This window comes from Homo sapiens, chromosome 1 (assembly GCF_000001405.40).
Source record: "Homo sapiens chromosome 1, GRCh38.p14 Primary Assembly".
In the NCBI taxonomy this organism is placed as follows: domain Eukaryota; kingdom Metazoa; phylum Chordata; class Mammalia; order Primates; family Hominidae; genus Homo; species Homo sapiens.
Window position 1 is genome coordinate 168,798,127 of NC_000001.11, and position 17,119 is coordinate 168,815,245.

The following is a 17,119-nucleotide window of genomic DNA, read 5'->3' on the forward strand; positions in this document are numbered from 1 at the left end:
TCTTTCCTTTTTTTACCTTTTTGTTGTTGTTGTTGTTGTTGTTGTTGTTGAGACAGAGTCTCGCTCTGTTGTCCAGGCTGGAGTACAGTGGCACAGTCTCATCTGACTGCAACCTCCACCTCCTGGGTTAAAGCAATTCTCCTGCCTCAGCCTCCTGAGTAGCTGGGACTACAGGTGCATGCCACCATGGCTGGCTAATTTTTGTATTTCTAACAGAGATGTGGTTTCACCATGTTGGCCAGGCTAGTCTCAAACTCCTGGCCTCAAATGATCTGCCCACCTCAGCCTCCCAAAGTGCTGGGATTACAGACATAAGCCATCACACTCAGCCACAGGATTGTAATTTCTGAGTTGTATGGTATGTGCAGGTTTAGTTTTGAATGACTTCTACTAAATTCTTTTTCAGAGAGGCTGTGACATTTTTAAATTCTTATCAGCAATGTATGAGAGGTCCAGTTTCTTTACATCTTTATCAGAATGGGGCATTGTCACTTTTTTTTTTATTATGTTAGCTATTCTGATAGGTATGTAGGAGACATACCTATCATTTTAACAATATTGTAACATTTTAACAATATTGACTCTTCCAACCCATCAATACAGTGTATCTTCATTAGGTCTTCTTTAATTTCTCTCAGGAATGTTTTTGTAGTTTTCAGTGTGCAGATATTGAATATCTTTTGTTAATTTAATTCATAGGCGTGCCACATTTTTGTTGCTATTGGAAGTATCATTTTTAATTTCAATTTTCAGTTGCTCATTGCTAGTATATAGAACTACAATTGATTTCTGTATATTACTTTTGTATCCTGCAAACTTTTTAAACTCAGTTATTAGTTCTAGTATATTTTTGTAGATTTCTTTAGATATCTACGTAGACTATCATGTTATCTGCAAATAAAAACAGTTTTACTTCTTTCTCCCCAACCTGAACACCTTTTATTTTATTTATTTCTTTCCTTATCAAACACTGACTAGAACTTCTAGTATAAGATGGAATACAAGTGGTTGATGGCAGTCATCCATGCCTTGTGGCTCATCCTAGAGTTAAAGCATTCAGTGTTTTACTGTTATTGAATTCATTGTAGGGTTATTATAGATGCCAGTTACTAGGTTTAGGAGGTTTTTTCTCCTACTACAGTGCTGAGAATTTTATAAGAAAAGAGTATTAAATTTTGTCGAAAAATTTCTCTCACCACTCATTTTACTGAGGTGGTCTGAAACCAAACTTACAATTATCACCAAGGTATGCCTATATAACAACAATAAGACAGAAAAAATTCTATCAGTACTATAAAGAATTGGGTTTAGTTGCTGCTTGCCTATGGCGACCTACATAAATCATTCTGCAACTAGATATAGTATTTGAATTGCCAATGCTATCATCACCCATTTCTGGTAAGGGTAGAGGCATGATATAGGACAGGAGAAAACCATTCTCTTTAAAAAGTTTAATTTTTAGTTCTACTCCCCAAGTTATTATAGGAGATTGATTGGCTATGCAACCCACCTACAGAGAACAGCAATTTTTACTACAGCCAAGAAGGAAATAAAATTGTTTCTCTAGGCCCTCCATGCTATTGAAAGGGGATACATTGTATTTAGAAGTTTGACCTCTGGTAGATGTACCAGGCACAAAACCATTACAGACTAAAGAAAGATTTGATGGATGCCAAGAACTTAGGAAGGAGAGCTGCCTTGAAGCAATAACACTATGTCATGTTCCTTGCATACTGAAAAAACTTTCATCAAACTATTTTGTGAGACTTTTTGATTTTTCTGCAGTTCACTCTTATAACTCTTTGCAAGGCCAAGGTAAGATATGCCCACACTTGAAGATTCTTCCTAAGAGTTTTCCAAATCAGAATTTTTCCCAATTCCTCTGGCACATTCTACTGATCATCCACTTATCACCTGACTCCTATTGAAGTACAGCGTTCATTAGTCAGAAGAACGCAGGATTGGGGAAGATCTTAGAGTTATTCATTTACTCCTTGGCATTCTTCCTGTTCTGTATGCCAACTGATGTTCTGTGCACTTTGTATGATTAACTCACTTAATCATTAATCATTTAATCATTCCAATAACATTTATTGAGCTCATACCAAGCTTTTACAATATATTAGGACTAATGCTTGCTGTAAAATAGCCCTTCTGTCAAGGAATCCACAGTAAGTTAGGTGAGGTAAACATGTAACACAATGTCTTATAATTACCTCTTTAAAAGCAATGACTAATTATGCAAAGAAAAATACAGAATGAGGGAGGAAGGATACCTAATCTAGGAGACAGGAAAGAGGGAACATGTTAGGAAGAGCTTCCTGAAGGTGCCATCTGAGTGCTGAGTCTCAAGCAAGAGCCTGTAGAATGGAGTGAGGCTGTGATGGGGCATGGTGGGTGGGGAGAGGGGGCAGGACATCTCAAGCAGAAAGGAGAATGGGAACAAATGCACAGAAGCAATAAAGACAAGATCTATGAAAGCCACGACCAGCTTCTTGTTGCTAGAGCATAAGGATTGAGACAGGCAGTGCAAGAGAGAAGGCTGAAGCTATGGACGGGGTTAAGTGAAGGAGCATAGTCTTTGACCTGCGTAGACAATGGAAATCCACTGAAGAATTTTAATTAGGGGATAAGTGGTCAGATTTATATTTTATATGTTTCATATAGCTTAGATAGTCTGGTGGCAATGGAGGGAGGTGCATAACTGGAAATGTACAATCAGGACATTTGTACTATTAGAATTATGAACTTCAGCATAATATATATTCATATTATTAATGTAGTAAACTGTTTTATAGTGTATTAGTCTATTCTCACACTGCTATAAAGAACTGCTTGAGACTGGGTAATTTATACAGAAAAGAGGTTTAATTGGCTCACAGTTCTGCATGGCTAAAGAGACCTCAGGAAACTTAGAATTATGGTGGAAGGTGAAGGGGAAGCAAGCACCTTCTACACAAAGTAGCAGGAGAGGGAGAGAGAGCAGGGAAACTGTCATTTTTAAACCATCAGATCTCCTGAGAACTCCCTCAGTATTACAAGACCAGCATGGGGGAAACCACCTCCACAATCCAATCACCCCCCACCAGGTTCCTCCCTTGACACCTGGGGATTACAATTCAATATGAGATGTGAGTGGGGACACAGAGCCAAACCATATCATATAGCTTTCTGTAGTGTACTTGAATATGCATTAAATAATAAATCAACTATACTGAGAAAATCTTAACTTTAAAAAATTTTTCATTAACTTAAATTTTTTCTTTTTTCTTTTTGTTATTTACTTGAAGGGAGCCATGTTTAGGCCCATTTCTGGTTAACAACTAAAGGGAATTGAAAAAGCAGTTAAACCTTTTCTCTTCTACTCTCGTCACAGCCATCGATTAGCTGTGAGTCATTGGAGCAAGGCTCAGGTTTCTCAAACATAAGATAAAGGGATTAGAATAAATGGTGCTTAAGTTCTGTTTAAGCATCAAAGTTCTATGAAGCAATGTTTATTGTATTTAACATTTTCTTAGTCTTCAAAGGGAATTGAAGGCAGATACGTAAGTGCCTTTATATATTTTATCTCTCAGTGTTTCTGAATAGGATAAGTAGTGTGAATATATGTGATAATTAAACCTCACAGATCTGCAACATGAACAGTGTAGAATTAAATACGCATACAGTGCTCATACTAAATAGGAGATAATGCATTTTTGCATATGCCAGTGTATCCAACTATCCAGAATAAACTTATGTGCCAAAATAGTGAGTAGAGTTTAATTTTTATAACTTAAAACATTTTTTTAAATCCCTCTTTACTTTTTCTTGAACGATCCTCTGATTGTAATTTGGAAAAAGCTGAGAACTGGCTAAAGGCTTTAGTCAAGAAAAAAAGTCATTCCCAGTTGACCTATTTTGGACTTATAACCTCCAGAACTATAAGATAATAAACTTGTATTGTTTTAAGCCCCAAAGTTTGCGATAATTTTTAACAGCAGCAATAAGAAACTAACATACTTCCCATAGCCAATTTGTGCAGTGAAACTTCATCTTCCTCAGCAAACATGCTTCCCTCTCTGTGCTCCTGTTTTTAGGGGCTGGCATCATCACCATATACCTATTTATCCTACTAGGAGTCATCTTTGATCTCTACCTCTTCACCACATTTACTTCATCACCAATTCCTGTTCATTCTTTCTACCTCTAGAGTAACTCCTCCATTCTGTTGTATTTCCCTGTTACTGCTGTTTTCAGGCTACAATTTTGAACTGCTGGAGTTTTGTATTCAACTCTAGTCTATTCTCTGTACTTTCAAATTTTATTTATTTATTGTTGAGACCCACAGGAAGAAATAAATTCCACATCAAGATCTAGGGCACACACACACTTCTGAAGCAAAAGCTTCATGAAACAATATTTCCCATACTCTTTTGCAGTATATGCTGATATTTTCTATCCTATGTATTTAATTTTGTAAAAATCCAGCTATTTGTGATTTATTGCAATGGTTTCGTAACTGACAAATGGATCATGACCTGTAGTTTAAGAAGATATTTTTCTACATGGCCACCAGAATGCTCTTTCCAAAATACAATTATTTTTCCTTAAAATCTTTCAATGCCTTCATTACTCTAAGGATAAAGTTCAAACTCTAACATTGTTTCTAAGATCCTCCATCACCCAGTCTTCTTATCACAGTAGCTTCGTCTTTCTCCACTCTAACTGGTTCATTTTCATTTTACAATCCAACCTTACCTGCTTACTTTCTGGACTCAGATTGAGTCTCTGGGCCTTTGCAAGTCGTGTTACCCTTTTCAGACTGTCTTCTACATATCCTCTTCTTATAGCTAATTCCCACTTAGTCTATTTTCTTAGATTAAACCTCACTTCCCTCTAAATGCTTTCTCTCAATGCCTGGACTGGGTTAGGTGTCCCTTTCGCCCTCCTGCATTCTCCCTTAGCACCCAGGACCCCCTGAATGGCAGTGCTTATCAACCTGTATTTAATAACAATAGTGCTGTTTAAGAATAGAGACTGGGTTTTGTCCCCTATGAAATACCTAGAAGGCCTTCAGTAAATGCTTATTGGATGAATAAGTGAAACCTAAAAATTTTTTAAAAGTCAATTACTTTGAACTAAAATTCTATTAACATTTAAATTGTCAATAGTAATAACTTCTTGAAATATTCTATTGGGATAGAAAACAAGTGGTCATTGCTAAAATGGCAATGTGTTTCAGGCCTATATCTCATTTGTACTATTACAAATATCATGGCAGGTAGTAAGAGGTAGGATGTGCTTTGCTTTGTTAAAACCTGGTAATAGTGCAGGGACTTGCTTAAAGCAACATTTACTATCCTTCACATTCAAGAAGACCCTGGTTTATAACCTGGTTGGTTCTTTCTCTTTAAGAACATTCATAGAAGAGCTTTAGTTGCTTTACCAGTGAGCCAAACCATCTATGACAGTTCACTTTTATGGTCTTTGAAGATGCTATTGGCTGATTTTCTGTTCAGCAGGTCATTTCTACCATTTAACCACCCAAATCATTAAAATGGACGAAATAAATTATTCACTAAGACACTGTCTTATGACCAGGGACAAGATGTCTTGGCAACGACTTGGTGTGTATGTTTGTCTCATAAAGGGGAAATCAATAATCCCATCACCAATATCTAGGTTGTCCATCTGTCTAAAATAAACACACAATCATTTATTTCCTTCTTTGGATGTCAACCAAGCTTTTAGAGCAGTTTTCTTTAAACAGCATGAATGCACATGGGTACATATGGACAGAAACAGACACACACATTCTCCATGAGAAAAGAGAGCAAGTTCTATATAAGGAACCCATGATGGGAAACAGCCAAGTGAAATGCACCTGGATGTCTGTGTAAGCAGTCATAAGATTGCCAGTGGCCAGCAGAAGACGAAAGGGAATGCCTGCCTAGGAGAGAAGAGCACGCCTTGTGCAAACATCAAAGCGCTGCTTCTAAGAGGGGTAATTTTTATATTGCTATTGGCAGACATGGATACTAATGCAAATCATTCAGGGCCCTACAAAAGGCCTGACATATTCTGAACTTGATGGGAGCTGGTTGGGACTGTGGCATTTATCTCCTTCCAATCTTTTAAAGTGACATGACGCCTTCCTGTCTCCAGTCTCAGGCTGACCACTTGGGGTAGTTGCTTTCAGGCCACTGTGACAAGAGCTAACCGCTGTGGTTTTGTGTTTGGTGTGACAGGGCAGCTATCCAGAGCTGAAAACAATGGAGACTGAGACAGAGAGGCTGCATTCGCTGAAAAGTTTTTTACAGCACTCACTTGCAATGTTCAGTGTTCTCTTAAATAGGGTAAATGTGGCCCATGGGGAAAAATGATCTGTTGAGGTGCGGGATGAAATGATTAGGATGCTATTTACGTTAACTTACATTTAATTTCTGTTTTGCATATATTTTATAAAATATACAATATATTAGTACAATTGTTCATTTGGTATAAATAAATACGTTTATTTCCTGGAGGAACAAACTAAAACATTTTTATTAATAGAGATGCATCATCAGGTAAGTTTTCAGGTTACTGGTGTTTTTGCTCAGGTTAATATACGCATTTATTGAAGAGGGTCTTATTTTTGCCTCTAAAAGAGCTCTTCAGATTCCAGAGTTCTGTTTTTTTGTCACTCTTTCTTTTTGTTGTTAATTATCTCTTTGCAAGAATGCCATCTATATCTAAAGGTAGTCTGTAATCTGTTGCTATTGTTCTAGCACTTTCTTCAAAGAAACGTTTACTTTAAAAAATCACAGAGGGAGGTAAAATTTCTCTGAGGTTCTTCATTGATTTGCATGACATTAAGAATTTGTAGGGAAAGTGAATAATTGGATATTGCAAGATGCAGTATTTCCTAGGTTATTTTAAGTGGTGGGCTTTATTTCATCTGTATGTGTTGTAAATACAAAATCAAGAGTGAAATTGGAATGTGTGAGTATGTGGAAAGTATATGGTAAAAAAGTAATTAGAACTAAAAAAGTGAACAGAGCAAATAGTAAAAACAAAACAAAACAAAAACACCCAAAGTGCACAGACACAAAAGTGTAATTAATAGGTGCTATTACTGGCAGAGATAATACTCAGGAAAACAGGTCTTCCATCTATTTTGAAAATTATTAAAATAGAATAATGTTTCAGTGAAATTCAGTTCTATTTATTCACACTATTAGCTGCAAATACCTCTATCCTCACATCTTGGATCCTGCTAACTTCCCCCAAAGGCCTCTCTGAATCCTATAGTTGAAAAGTCTCCTAATCAAGCCTTTATATAAAATTGGAAATAAATGGAAAGTAACATGAAAATAAAACAAATTAAAAAGATGTCATTGCAATAGGGTGACAGTATTACACATATTTTTCTTTTGATTTTTTTCTTTTAATGTGCTATCCTAATAATTTAACCAAATATAAAAAGCAAGTAAGATTGAGACTTTGAGGTATAAACTGTGGTATTCTTTTTTTTTCTTTTTTGAGACAGAGTCTCCCTGTTTCCCAGGCTGCAGTGGTATGATCATGGCTCACTGTAGCCTCAACTTCCCAAACTTAAGTAATCCTCTCACCTCAGCCTGCTGAGTAGCTGAGACCACAGGCATGCACCACCATGCCTGGCTAATTTTTTAATTTTTTGTAGAGATGGGGTCTCTCTATGTTGCCCAGACTGGTCTCAAACTCCTGGTCTCAAGCAATCCTCCTGCCTCAGCCTCCCAAAGTGCTGGGATTACAGGCATGAGCCATAGCACCCAGCCTAAATTTTGGTGTTCTGATGGTCAGTCAATACCTACATATGAATGTAATCCCAGCAGAGGGAAGACATTCGTAACAGTAACTAGGTCTTTGCACATATTCTGTGTAAACTGCTATCTAACGTTATCATAAGGGATATGTATGCCTTTTGAAGAATATCCAAGTCGCTTATTTTTTCCGTTTACTGATATTTCTTTTGAGAAAGAAATCAGAAACTAGTTGATTTTAGAAGTAAGGAGAGTGATCTCCTTTTATCTGGAATAACTGGGCTGGGCATCAGCCTGCTGACAAAGAGTTGACCCACTATATCTGAGACACAGAAATATAACTTGGGGGCTCTGAAGGCTCTCTTGGAGCTGTTGACTCAACATCTTGGATGTCAATAGATATCTCAACCTCAACTGATCCAAAGAGAAACTTCCAACCTTCCCCACTCCCTCACCCCAAACCTATTGTACCCACAGCCTTCCTCATCTCAGTTTTGGCAACTCCGTCCTTCTGTTGAGAGGACCAAAATCAGGGAGTCATCCTTGACTCCTCACAGTTAAACAATTTATCAGGTAGTCCTGTAGACTCAACCATCAAAACACATCCAGACCCTTACCATTTCCTGCCCTCACCAGGGCTACTGCTCACTCAAGCTACCATCATTAATTGCCTGGAATATTGATTGCAATTGCCTCCTAACGGTTCTTGCTGCTTCTGTCTTTGCCTCTGTACGGTCCCTACAAAGAAGTAGCAATAATGCTTTAAAAACGTAAATCAGGTCATGTCACTCCCTTGATCAAAACCTACATTGGCCCCCACTTACACTCAGAGTGAGAGTCCAAGTCCTCGCCATGGCATAAGGCCCTCTCTGAGCTGCCACACCATTGGGTCTATTTTCTCTTGTTACTCTCCCTGTGCTGCCCTGTTCCAACAACTCTGACCTCCTTGCTTTCCTCAAAAATGCCAGGCACACATGCTCTCTTTTTAGGGACTTTGTGCTAGCTTTTCTCTCTGCTGGAATCTTCCTTCCTGAATACCTATTTGGCTTTCTCCCTTATCTCACCTTCTCAATAAAATCTGATTTGGCCACCTCATTACTACTATAACCTCCCAGCTACGCTTCCACTGACCCTCTGTACTTTCAAGTTCCTTTGCCTCATTCCATTATTTATCTTATGTAAAGCAGAATATATTTATTTATTTGTATGTGTATTGGCTAATGTCTGGTTCCCTAGCTATAATGTAAGCCCCATGAGGGCAAAGGTCATTGTCTGTGTTGTTCCCTCATGTATCCTAAGAGCTTAGAGCAGTTCCTGCCACATAACAGGTTATCGTATTTGCTGGATGAATGAATAATGAAACCTATAACCAAAGGCTTCATTTAAACCCCTTATCCTATAAAAGTGGGACTTTAAATAGAAAATATTCAATACATCTATCAGCCTGACTTGTCTTCATGATTCTAATTGTTAGAGATGTTTTCCAACATTCAGTGTTATAGAAAGAGCTACCCCAGTGCACTGACTAAACAATCTTTTTCCCTAAATGTTTTACTTGGGGGATCCATAAATGATTTCTCTTCAGTTACTAGGGATTTGCTCTCCTGACTTACTCTTTTATAACCTCAGAAGCCTCTAGTTAAAATGGAAATGGCATTCGAGAGGTAACATATTTAGGTACAATTCTTCCTTATATTACTTTCCACCACCAGGGAGGTGCAAATTCCTATACAAAAGAGGTAAGGAGAGAGAGTAAGAATAGTATATTTTGATTTAAAAAAAGAGGGATGGGGTAGAAAGATGGATCCAGAACTTAGAGACACTACAGAGAGAACACAAGCCTCCTTGAGAGGTCACAGTCACTCATTCACACATTCACTTATTCATTCAAACACTTTCTGCAGGCTTGCTTATTGCTTACCTCTTGAGAAATATAAGCAATGCACAGATTTTAGGAAGAGCTAAAAGCAAGTAATAACCATACTTTGCAGTGAGTGCTGCAATCCAAAGTGTCATGACTACACAGTTGGAGATGTGTCTGCTCCAGGGGAATGATGGGCAGACTACTGGGGGGAACCACTAAGAAAGAGCTGCAATGAAGTTATTACTCATATTTTTGCATTCAGCTCTCCAGACCCAGTTATAGACCAAGCATCTTCATGCCCTAGTGCTTCTTCATGCTGCATAGGGTCTTCCATCACACGAGGCATAGTCAGAGATTGCTGGATTCAGAAGGAGCTTCTAGAATCCCAAGAATAAGTAGGCTCCATCTGGGTGCCTGCCTTATTCACCTGGGTCCCCCGGAAGTGCTCCTTGGTACCTCTCTTGCAGATGTGTATCAATGCCCAAACACCCAAACAGGGAGGGAGAGCTTGCTTACATCTAATCAAGTCCTCAGAACATAGTTTATACCTAGTTGTCATCTTGTTCTGAGAAGATTCAGAATGAATGAAGATTCTTTGCAACCCTGTATATATATGCAAAGGAAGCATGATTAAATCACCCTCCATCTTCTCTCTGAACTGATATCTGGAGTCTTTTAACCTTCTTTGAGATACTCTGACTTTTGTTTCTTAAATTATTATAACTGCAGGATGAATTAGCTTTTTCAAAACTTAACTTTATAATAATTCGTAGTAGTCAATTTACTGCATTTGTAAAATAATAGCTAGTTCTGCCAAATAGTCATAATTTAGAAAACTCTTCTTTAAATAAACTCATGTAAAATATTATGGCACCGTGTTTTAACATTCTGGTGTATGCCTCTTTTGGGTTTACAGATACAGAAATAGTGCTTATAGGGTTACCCTGCTTTTAAAAGACATTTAATATGAAAAATCATTATGTGCCAAACAAATAACCCAGCTGAAAGAAGAATATTTGCTTTATACCTAACTTTCCTAAAGCTATTCTTTTAAAAACAGAGAACTTTCTTCATGTCATTGATTCAATTTATACCCTATATATTCAGGAACATGGTGACTGAATAGAACTCTGCAGAATCAAGATCATCTCACTGATTTTCCCCTTTGGTTTTGCTGGTTTATCACCGTCTACCTAGAAATCCCTTTTCATATTCTTCATCATATGTCCATATCCTTTTTCCTTCTTAATAACATCAGTGTGTCAACTTAAGGCCCATTTGATTTTTCCTTCAACTTAAGACATATCATTTTTTGTGTGTATTTCTCTGCATATTTGTTTATAGACATAAAACTCACTGTTCATGTTTGTCTTTGTCAAGAGAAGCAAGTTGATTTCTTCTCTTTATCCACCTGAACATTAGACATATAAGAGTTTGAGAGCCCAATTTTAAGTGTTGGCTCTGATGAATTGAGAGCTGTCCTTCCTAGGGTGAAGGTTTCCCAGTTTCAAAACTAGTGCATTATGTGGCTTCACAGCTTTGAAAAGTAAGGCAATTAAAGGAATGGGATCCAGTTAGGACTAATGTGTATTGATCAGCTGCCATAGAGCTAGTTTCAATGTTAGGCATTTTCACATTTTCACTAGAGTTTAATCCTCATAAAAATCCTGGGAGGTGGTATTAGTTCCTTTATACCCATGAAGACATAGATACCCATCCAACCATACATGGCAGAATCAGGACTCAAACATAGACCCTGCAACTCCAAGTCCAAAGTTCCTGGGTATCCTGTCATATTCTCACTTGAAAACCACCAATGCAGGGAGGTTTTCAATGCCTTTCAAAGCCCCTCAGACAGGGCTCCCTGCATGCCTGTTGTCAGAGCAAAATTGATACAGGTCATTGTATGAGTCTGCAGCCTCAGGAGCCACCTGTGTCCAATGGGGACAGCTCTTACCATAAGCCCTGCTTCACTGGATACCACATCTCCTCCTCACAAAGTATAACTCACTCACTTCCATTCACTTGTGTAACGCTCACTCACTTCCATTGCTCAGAAAACATCCACCTGCCTCAGACCTTGAGGTTTCCACAAATTGGCTTAGGGTCATTGGCAATAGTTACTAAAAATGGAAAAGTGTTGGTACAAAAAATTCAATAATACCAATGAACATGAACATAATACAATAGTACATCAAACATATACAAATAAGGAATCAAATAAGTCAATTTACTTATTTATATAATTACTGCTTTATTATATTATTACTTACAAATTATATGAATAGTATCTTGATTATATTAATAAGTTAATTACCTAGCAAAGCTCAGAGATAATGTCGTATAAGATATTTGGATCATGGTGTGTGTTTATTTTTATTAGATTTTTGTTTTATTTTGTTTTGTTTCATTTTTTGGAGAGAGATAAAGGTAGAGCGATACCAAAACGGAGGAAACTTGGGCCTAGCCAATGCGGTTAGAAGCAGATGACGAGTTTGAGAACCTCAGGCCTTGCAAAAGGGCATCTGGAAAAACAAAGAAACAAACAACAACAAAACCTGTTCCCATGAGATTTAACCTAGTTTTGTAAAGACAAATAATGAAAATAAAGAAGTCCTATGTCATATATTATAAGGGCAGAAGTATTACAGAGGAAAAGAAAGTATGGAAGGAGAACAGGAATGCTGTTGGGCATTGCGCTTCAGTCAGCCAGAAAGAAATTTAGAACTTTTCTAAATTGTCTTCTTAAGACAAATTTGATAATTTGTTTTAAAGAACACTTTCCTTTCATTCAGATGCTCAGACTTATCATGCTAGTGTGCTCAGTGGCAGGGTGCCGGGGAGACCTGGGAAGAGAAGAGGAATGAAAGATACATTTCTACAACTTAGCAGTCTATCAATATAGAGTCTCTTATTTGATCCTCTCCCCAAAACATGAGGTATGGAAGGTGCCCAAGTTCACAGAATCTACTGAGGTGAGAGAGAGTCACTATTCATACTCCAGTTCTATGATGTCCTCCCACTTTTTTTACTTTGTCTATACCATGCTGTCTTCCTGTGAGTGTCCCTGTAATTTTATACCTTCCCCCAACAGTAACTGAGCACAAAGAATTGAAAACAAAACGATCTCTCTCTAGATAAGCATAAATGCCAAATTAGCTTGGAAAAGTTGTACTTGTTACTTTTGCTCTCCACTCAGTCAAGGCCCCAGTGGTCATGATTTCTGTATTTATGGGGAAAGAGAGGAGGTAGAAAATAAGCCACCACTGTCATCTTCTAGGTTCTAGTTGTTGTGGTGACACTTGCTGACCTTCACCTGCCTGCCTTCCACTATTCTTTTTTCAGGCAAAAAATATTCCAAATATATATTTCCTTGAGAACTTCTAAACACAGCTGTGAAACACTGTTCATAGTCAGTGTGTGTGTGAATATCATCAGACCATAAATAATTCTCCATCTCCTTGAAGCAAGGTACCCAGCTGCTAAGGGGCTCCTAGAAAGCCTCAGTCATGACCTCTATGAAGATGCCCTACACCCTTGCTTGTTTCTGAGCTTTGTAGACACAAAGACAAAGAAGATATTTTGTCTATTCCCTTTGTTCAGACAGCCAGAAGTGAGTAAGTGATGATTTCATCATTGATGATGAAATAGACAGTCTGAAGTCTGACATCTGGGCTCCCACAGGAATACCTGCAGTGGTATAGCAGGTGATGGGGAGAATGGAAATGCGCTAGGAAGAATCAAAGAAAGTAGTGTGTATGTTTGTGTGTGTGTGTGTGTGTGTGTGTGTGTATGCACGCACGCATGCAATCACAAGTGATGAAAGAAGTGCATTTACTACTTCAGACACTGAGAGGTGTCATCTTTTCGTGCATAACAAAGATCCAAAACATTACTTGCTGAATTTGCCCCAACACACTGTAGTGAACATTTCCACATACTATATAGAGGTTTTTCTATTGATAGAAATAGACCGTAACCTTGAAATCAGTGAAACAAAGAATGCTATGACCTATCCACCTTAGAATGGAAGCTCTAAGGAGGCAAGGGTGCTCATGGTAAGGGCTGGATCAAGAAGCTAAAAGATGGTCTTGAATTTGTGACTTCTCATTCGGCATGGCAACAGAGAGAATAGCGCCCCAGAGCCTGGGTGTAGAATGAGATGCTGGCAGCGCAAACAAGGATCCTTTTCCTTCAGTGATCCTGAGAGAGCTCCGTTGCTCGTAGGGCTCTGTGGGTGGCTCCCTGGAGACTCACATCCTGTCTTTATGTTTCCTATGCAGAGTACCATTGGGCTGCTTTCCTGGAGTATGTCTTCCCTTATACTCACCTGCTTGCCAGCTACCTAGGCCTGCCACAACAAAGTACCACAGGCTCGGGGGCTTAAACAACAGAAATTTATCATTTCAATCCTGGAGGCTGGAAGTCCAAAATCAAGGTGTTGGCAGGCTTCCTTCTGATACCCATGAGGGAAGGATATATTCCAGGTCAATGTCCTTCACTTGCAGATTGCCGTCTTCTCCCTGTCTTGTCACATTGTCTTCCTTCTGTGTGTGTCTGTCTCCATTTCCAAGTTTCTCCCTTTTATAAGGACACGAGTCATATTGGATTAAGGCTTAACATAGTGACCTTATTTCAATATGATTATCTCTGTAAAGACTGTGTCTCCAAATAAGGTCACATGCTGAGGCAACAGAGGTTAGAATTCCAATCATATTTTTTTCGACAAGCACAATTCAACCCATGCTACCTGCTAAGCAACATTTTGAAATATTTTTCTTATGTTTCCCTCCACCATTTTTACTGGGTGGTGAGCTATTATCCCTTCTATCCTTACACAAAATAAAAGAACATGGGGCTTCAAGAAGCCACAGGAAAGCCAGACAGCTTAATTTTTATCTAAAGAGTTGATGACAACTAGAGGATGATAAGGTAGGACTGGGATCAAGAACACTGATATATTTCCTTGTTCTATAATATTGTGAAGGAAGATCAGTAAGCAGATCTTTCCAGAAAAATCTCCAAGATTCAAGATGGCCTTGAATATGCAGGACAGAGGGTGGGCCTCAAACTGATAGGTTTGAGCAGCCATGTGGCAGGATAAGAGAAGGATGTAAATGACAGAAAAACAAAAAAAAAAACAGTATTAAAGAAATGGATAAACAAATGTATAGTGGAATTGGTCTTCTGTCACAGCCTTTAAAATGTAAAATTGCACCTTAGTGGGCTTGCAGAAGAAAGGACATCAATGTGTGAGCTTATAAGAGCCTGGGCCATGGAGTCAAACAGCCCTAGTTTTGATAAATCCACTCGCCCCACCTGTACTCCCAGTTCTGCCACTTACAAGCTATGTGATGTTGGGCAAGTTACTTAACTTCTCAGAGCCTTGCTCTCCTCATGTGTTCAATGCAAATTAAAATACATGCATTTAGTATTTGCAGTAAGGATTATGCATTTTATAATTTAAAACACTATATTATTCCTCATGCTGCTAATAAAGACAGACCTGAGCCTGGATAATTTATAAAAGAAGGTAGTTTAATTGACTCACAGTTCAGCATGGCTGGGAAGGCCTCAGGAAACTTGGCAGACAGGGAAGCAAACACATCCTTCTTACATGGCAGCAGCAAGGACAAGTGCTGAGCAAAAGGGGGAAAAGCCCCTTATAAAAACATCAGATCTCGGCTAGGTGCAGTGGCTCACGCCTGTAATCCTAGCACTTTGGGAGGCTGAGGTGGGTGGATCACCAGGTCAGGAGTTCAAGACCTGCCTGGCCAACATAGTGAAACCCCATCTCTACTAAAAATACAAAAAATTAGCCAGGTATGGTGATAGGTGTCTCTACTCCTCGCTACTTGGGAGGCTGAGGCAGGAAAATCGCTGGAACCCAGGAGTCGGAGGTTGCAGTGAACCAAGATCGAGCCATCGTACTCCAGCCTGGGCAAGACTCTGTCTCAAATTAATTAATTAATTAATTAATTAATAAAATAAAATTCTATAGGCAAGCAAATCATGAATGAACTCCCATTCACAATTGCTACAAAGAGAATAAAATACCTAGGAATACAGCTAACAAGAGAAGTGAGGGTCCTCTTCAAGGAACACTACAAACCACTGCTCCAAGAAATCAGAGATGACACAAACATATGGAAAAACATTCCATGCTCATGGATAAAGAATCAATATTGTGAAAATGGCCATACCGCCCAAAGTAATTTATAGATTCAGTGCTATTCTCATCAAACTACCACTGATATTCTTCACAGAATTAGAAAAGAAACTACTTTAAAATTTAGATGGAACCACAAAAGAGCCCAATAGGCAAGACAATCCTAAGCCAAAAGAACAAAGCTGGAGGCATCATGGTACCTGACTTCAAACTATACTACAAGAGTACAGTAACCAAAAACAGCATGATACGGGTACAAAAACAGACACATAGACCAAGGAAACAGAATAGAGAATTCAGAAATAAGACCACACACCTACAACCATCTGATCTTCGACACATGTGACAAAAACAAGCAATAGGGAAAGGAATCCCTATTTAATAAATGGTGCTGGGAGAACTGGCTACCCATATACAGAAAATTGAAACTGGACCCCATCCTTACACCTTATACAAAAATTAACTCAAGATGGATTAAAGAATTAAACATAAAACCCAAAACTATAAAAATCCTAGAAGAAAATCTAGGCAATACCATTCAGGATATAGGCACAGGCAAAAATTTCTTGACAAAAATGTCAAAAGCAATTGCAACAGAAGCAAAAATTGACAAATGGGATCTAATTAAACTAAAGAGCTTCTGCACTGCAAAAGAAACTATAATCAGAGCGAACAGACAACCTACAGCATGGGAGAAAAGTTTTGCAATCTATCCATCTGACAAAGGTCTAATATCCAGAATCTACAAGGAGCTTAAACAAATTTACAAGAAAAAAATGAAGAACTCCATTAAAAAGTGGTCAAAGGACCTGAACAGACACTCCTCAAAGGAATACATTTATATGGCCAACAAACAAATTTTAAAAAGTTCGACATCACTGATCACTGGAGAAATGCAGATCAAAACCACAATGAGATACCATCTCATGCCAGTCAGAATGGTGATTATTAAAAAGTCAAGAAACAATAGATGCTGGCAAGGATACAGAGGGATAGAAATGCTTTCACACTGTTGGTGGGAATGTAAAATAGTTCAACCATTGTAGAAGATAGTGTGGAGATTCCTCAAAGATCTAGAAGCAGAAATACCATTTGACCCAGCAATCCCATTACTGGGTATATACCCAAAGGAATATAAATCATTCTATCATAAAGACACATGCATGCCTATGTTCATTGCAACACTCTTCACAATAGCAAAGGCATGGAATCAACCTAAATGTCCATCAATGGTAGACTGGATAAAGAAAATGTGGTACATATACACCATGGAATACTATGTAGCCATAAAAAAGAACAAGATCATGTCCTTTGCAGGGA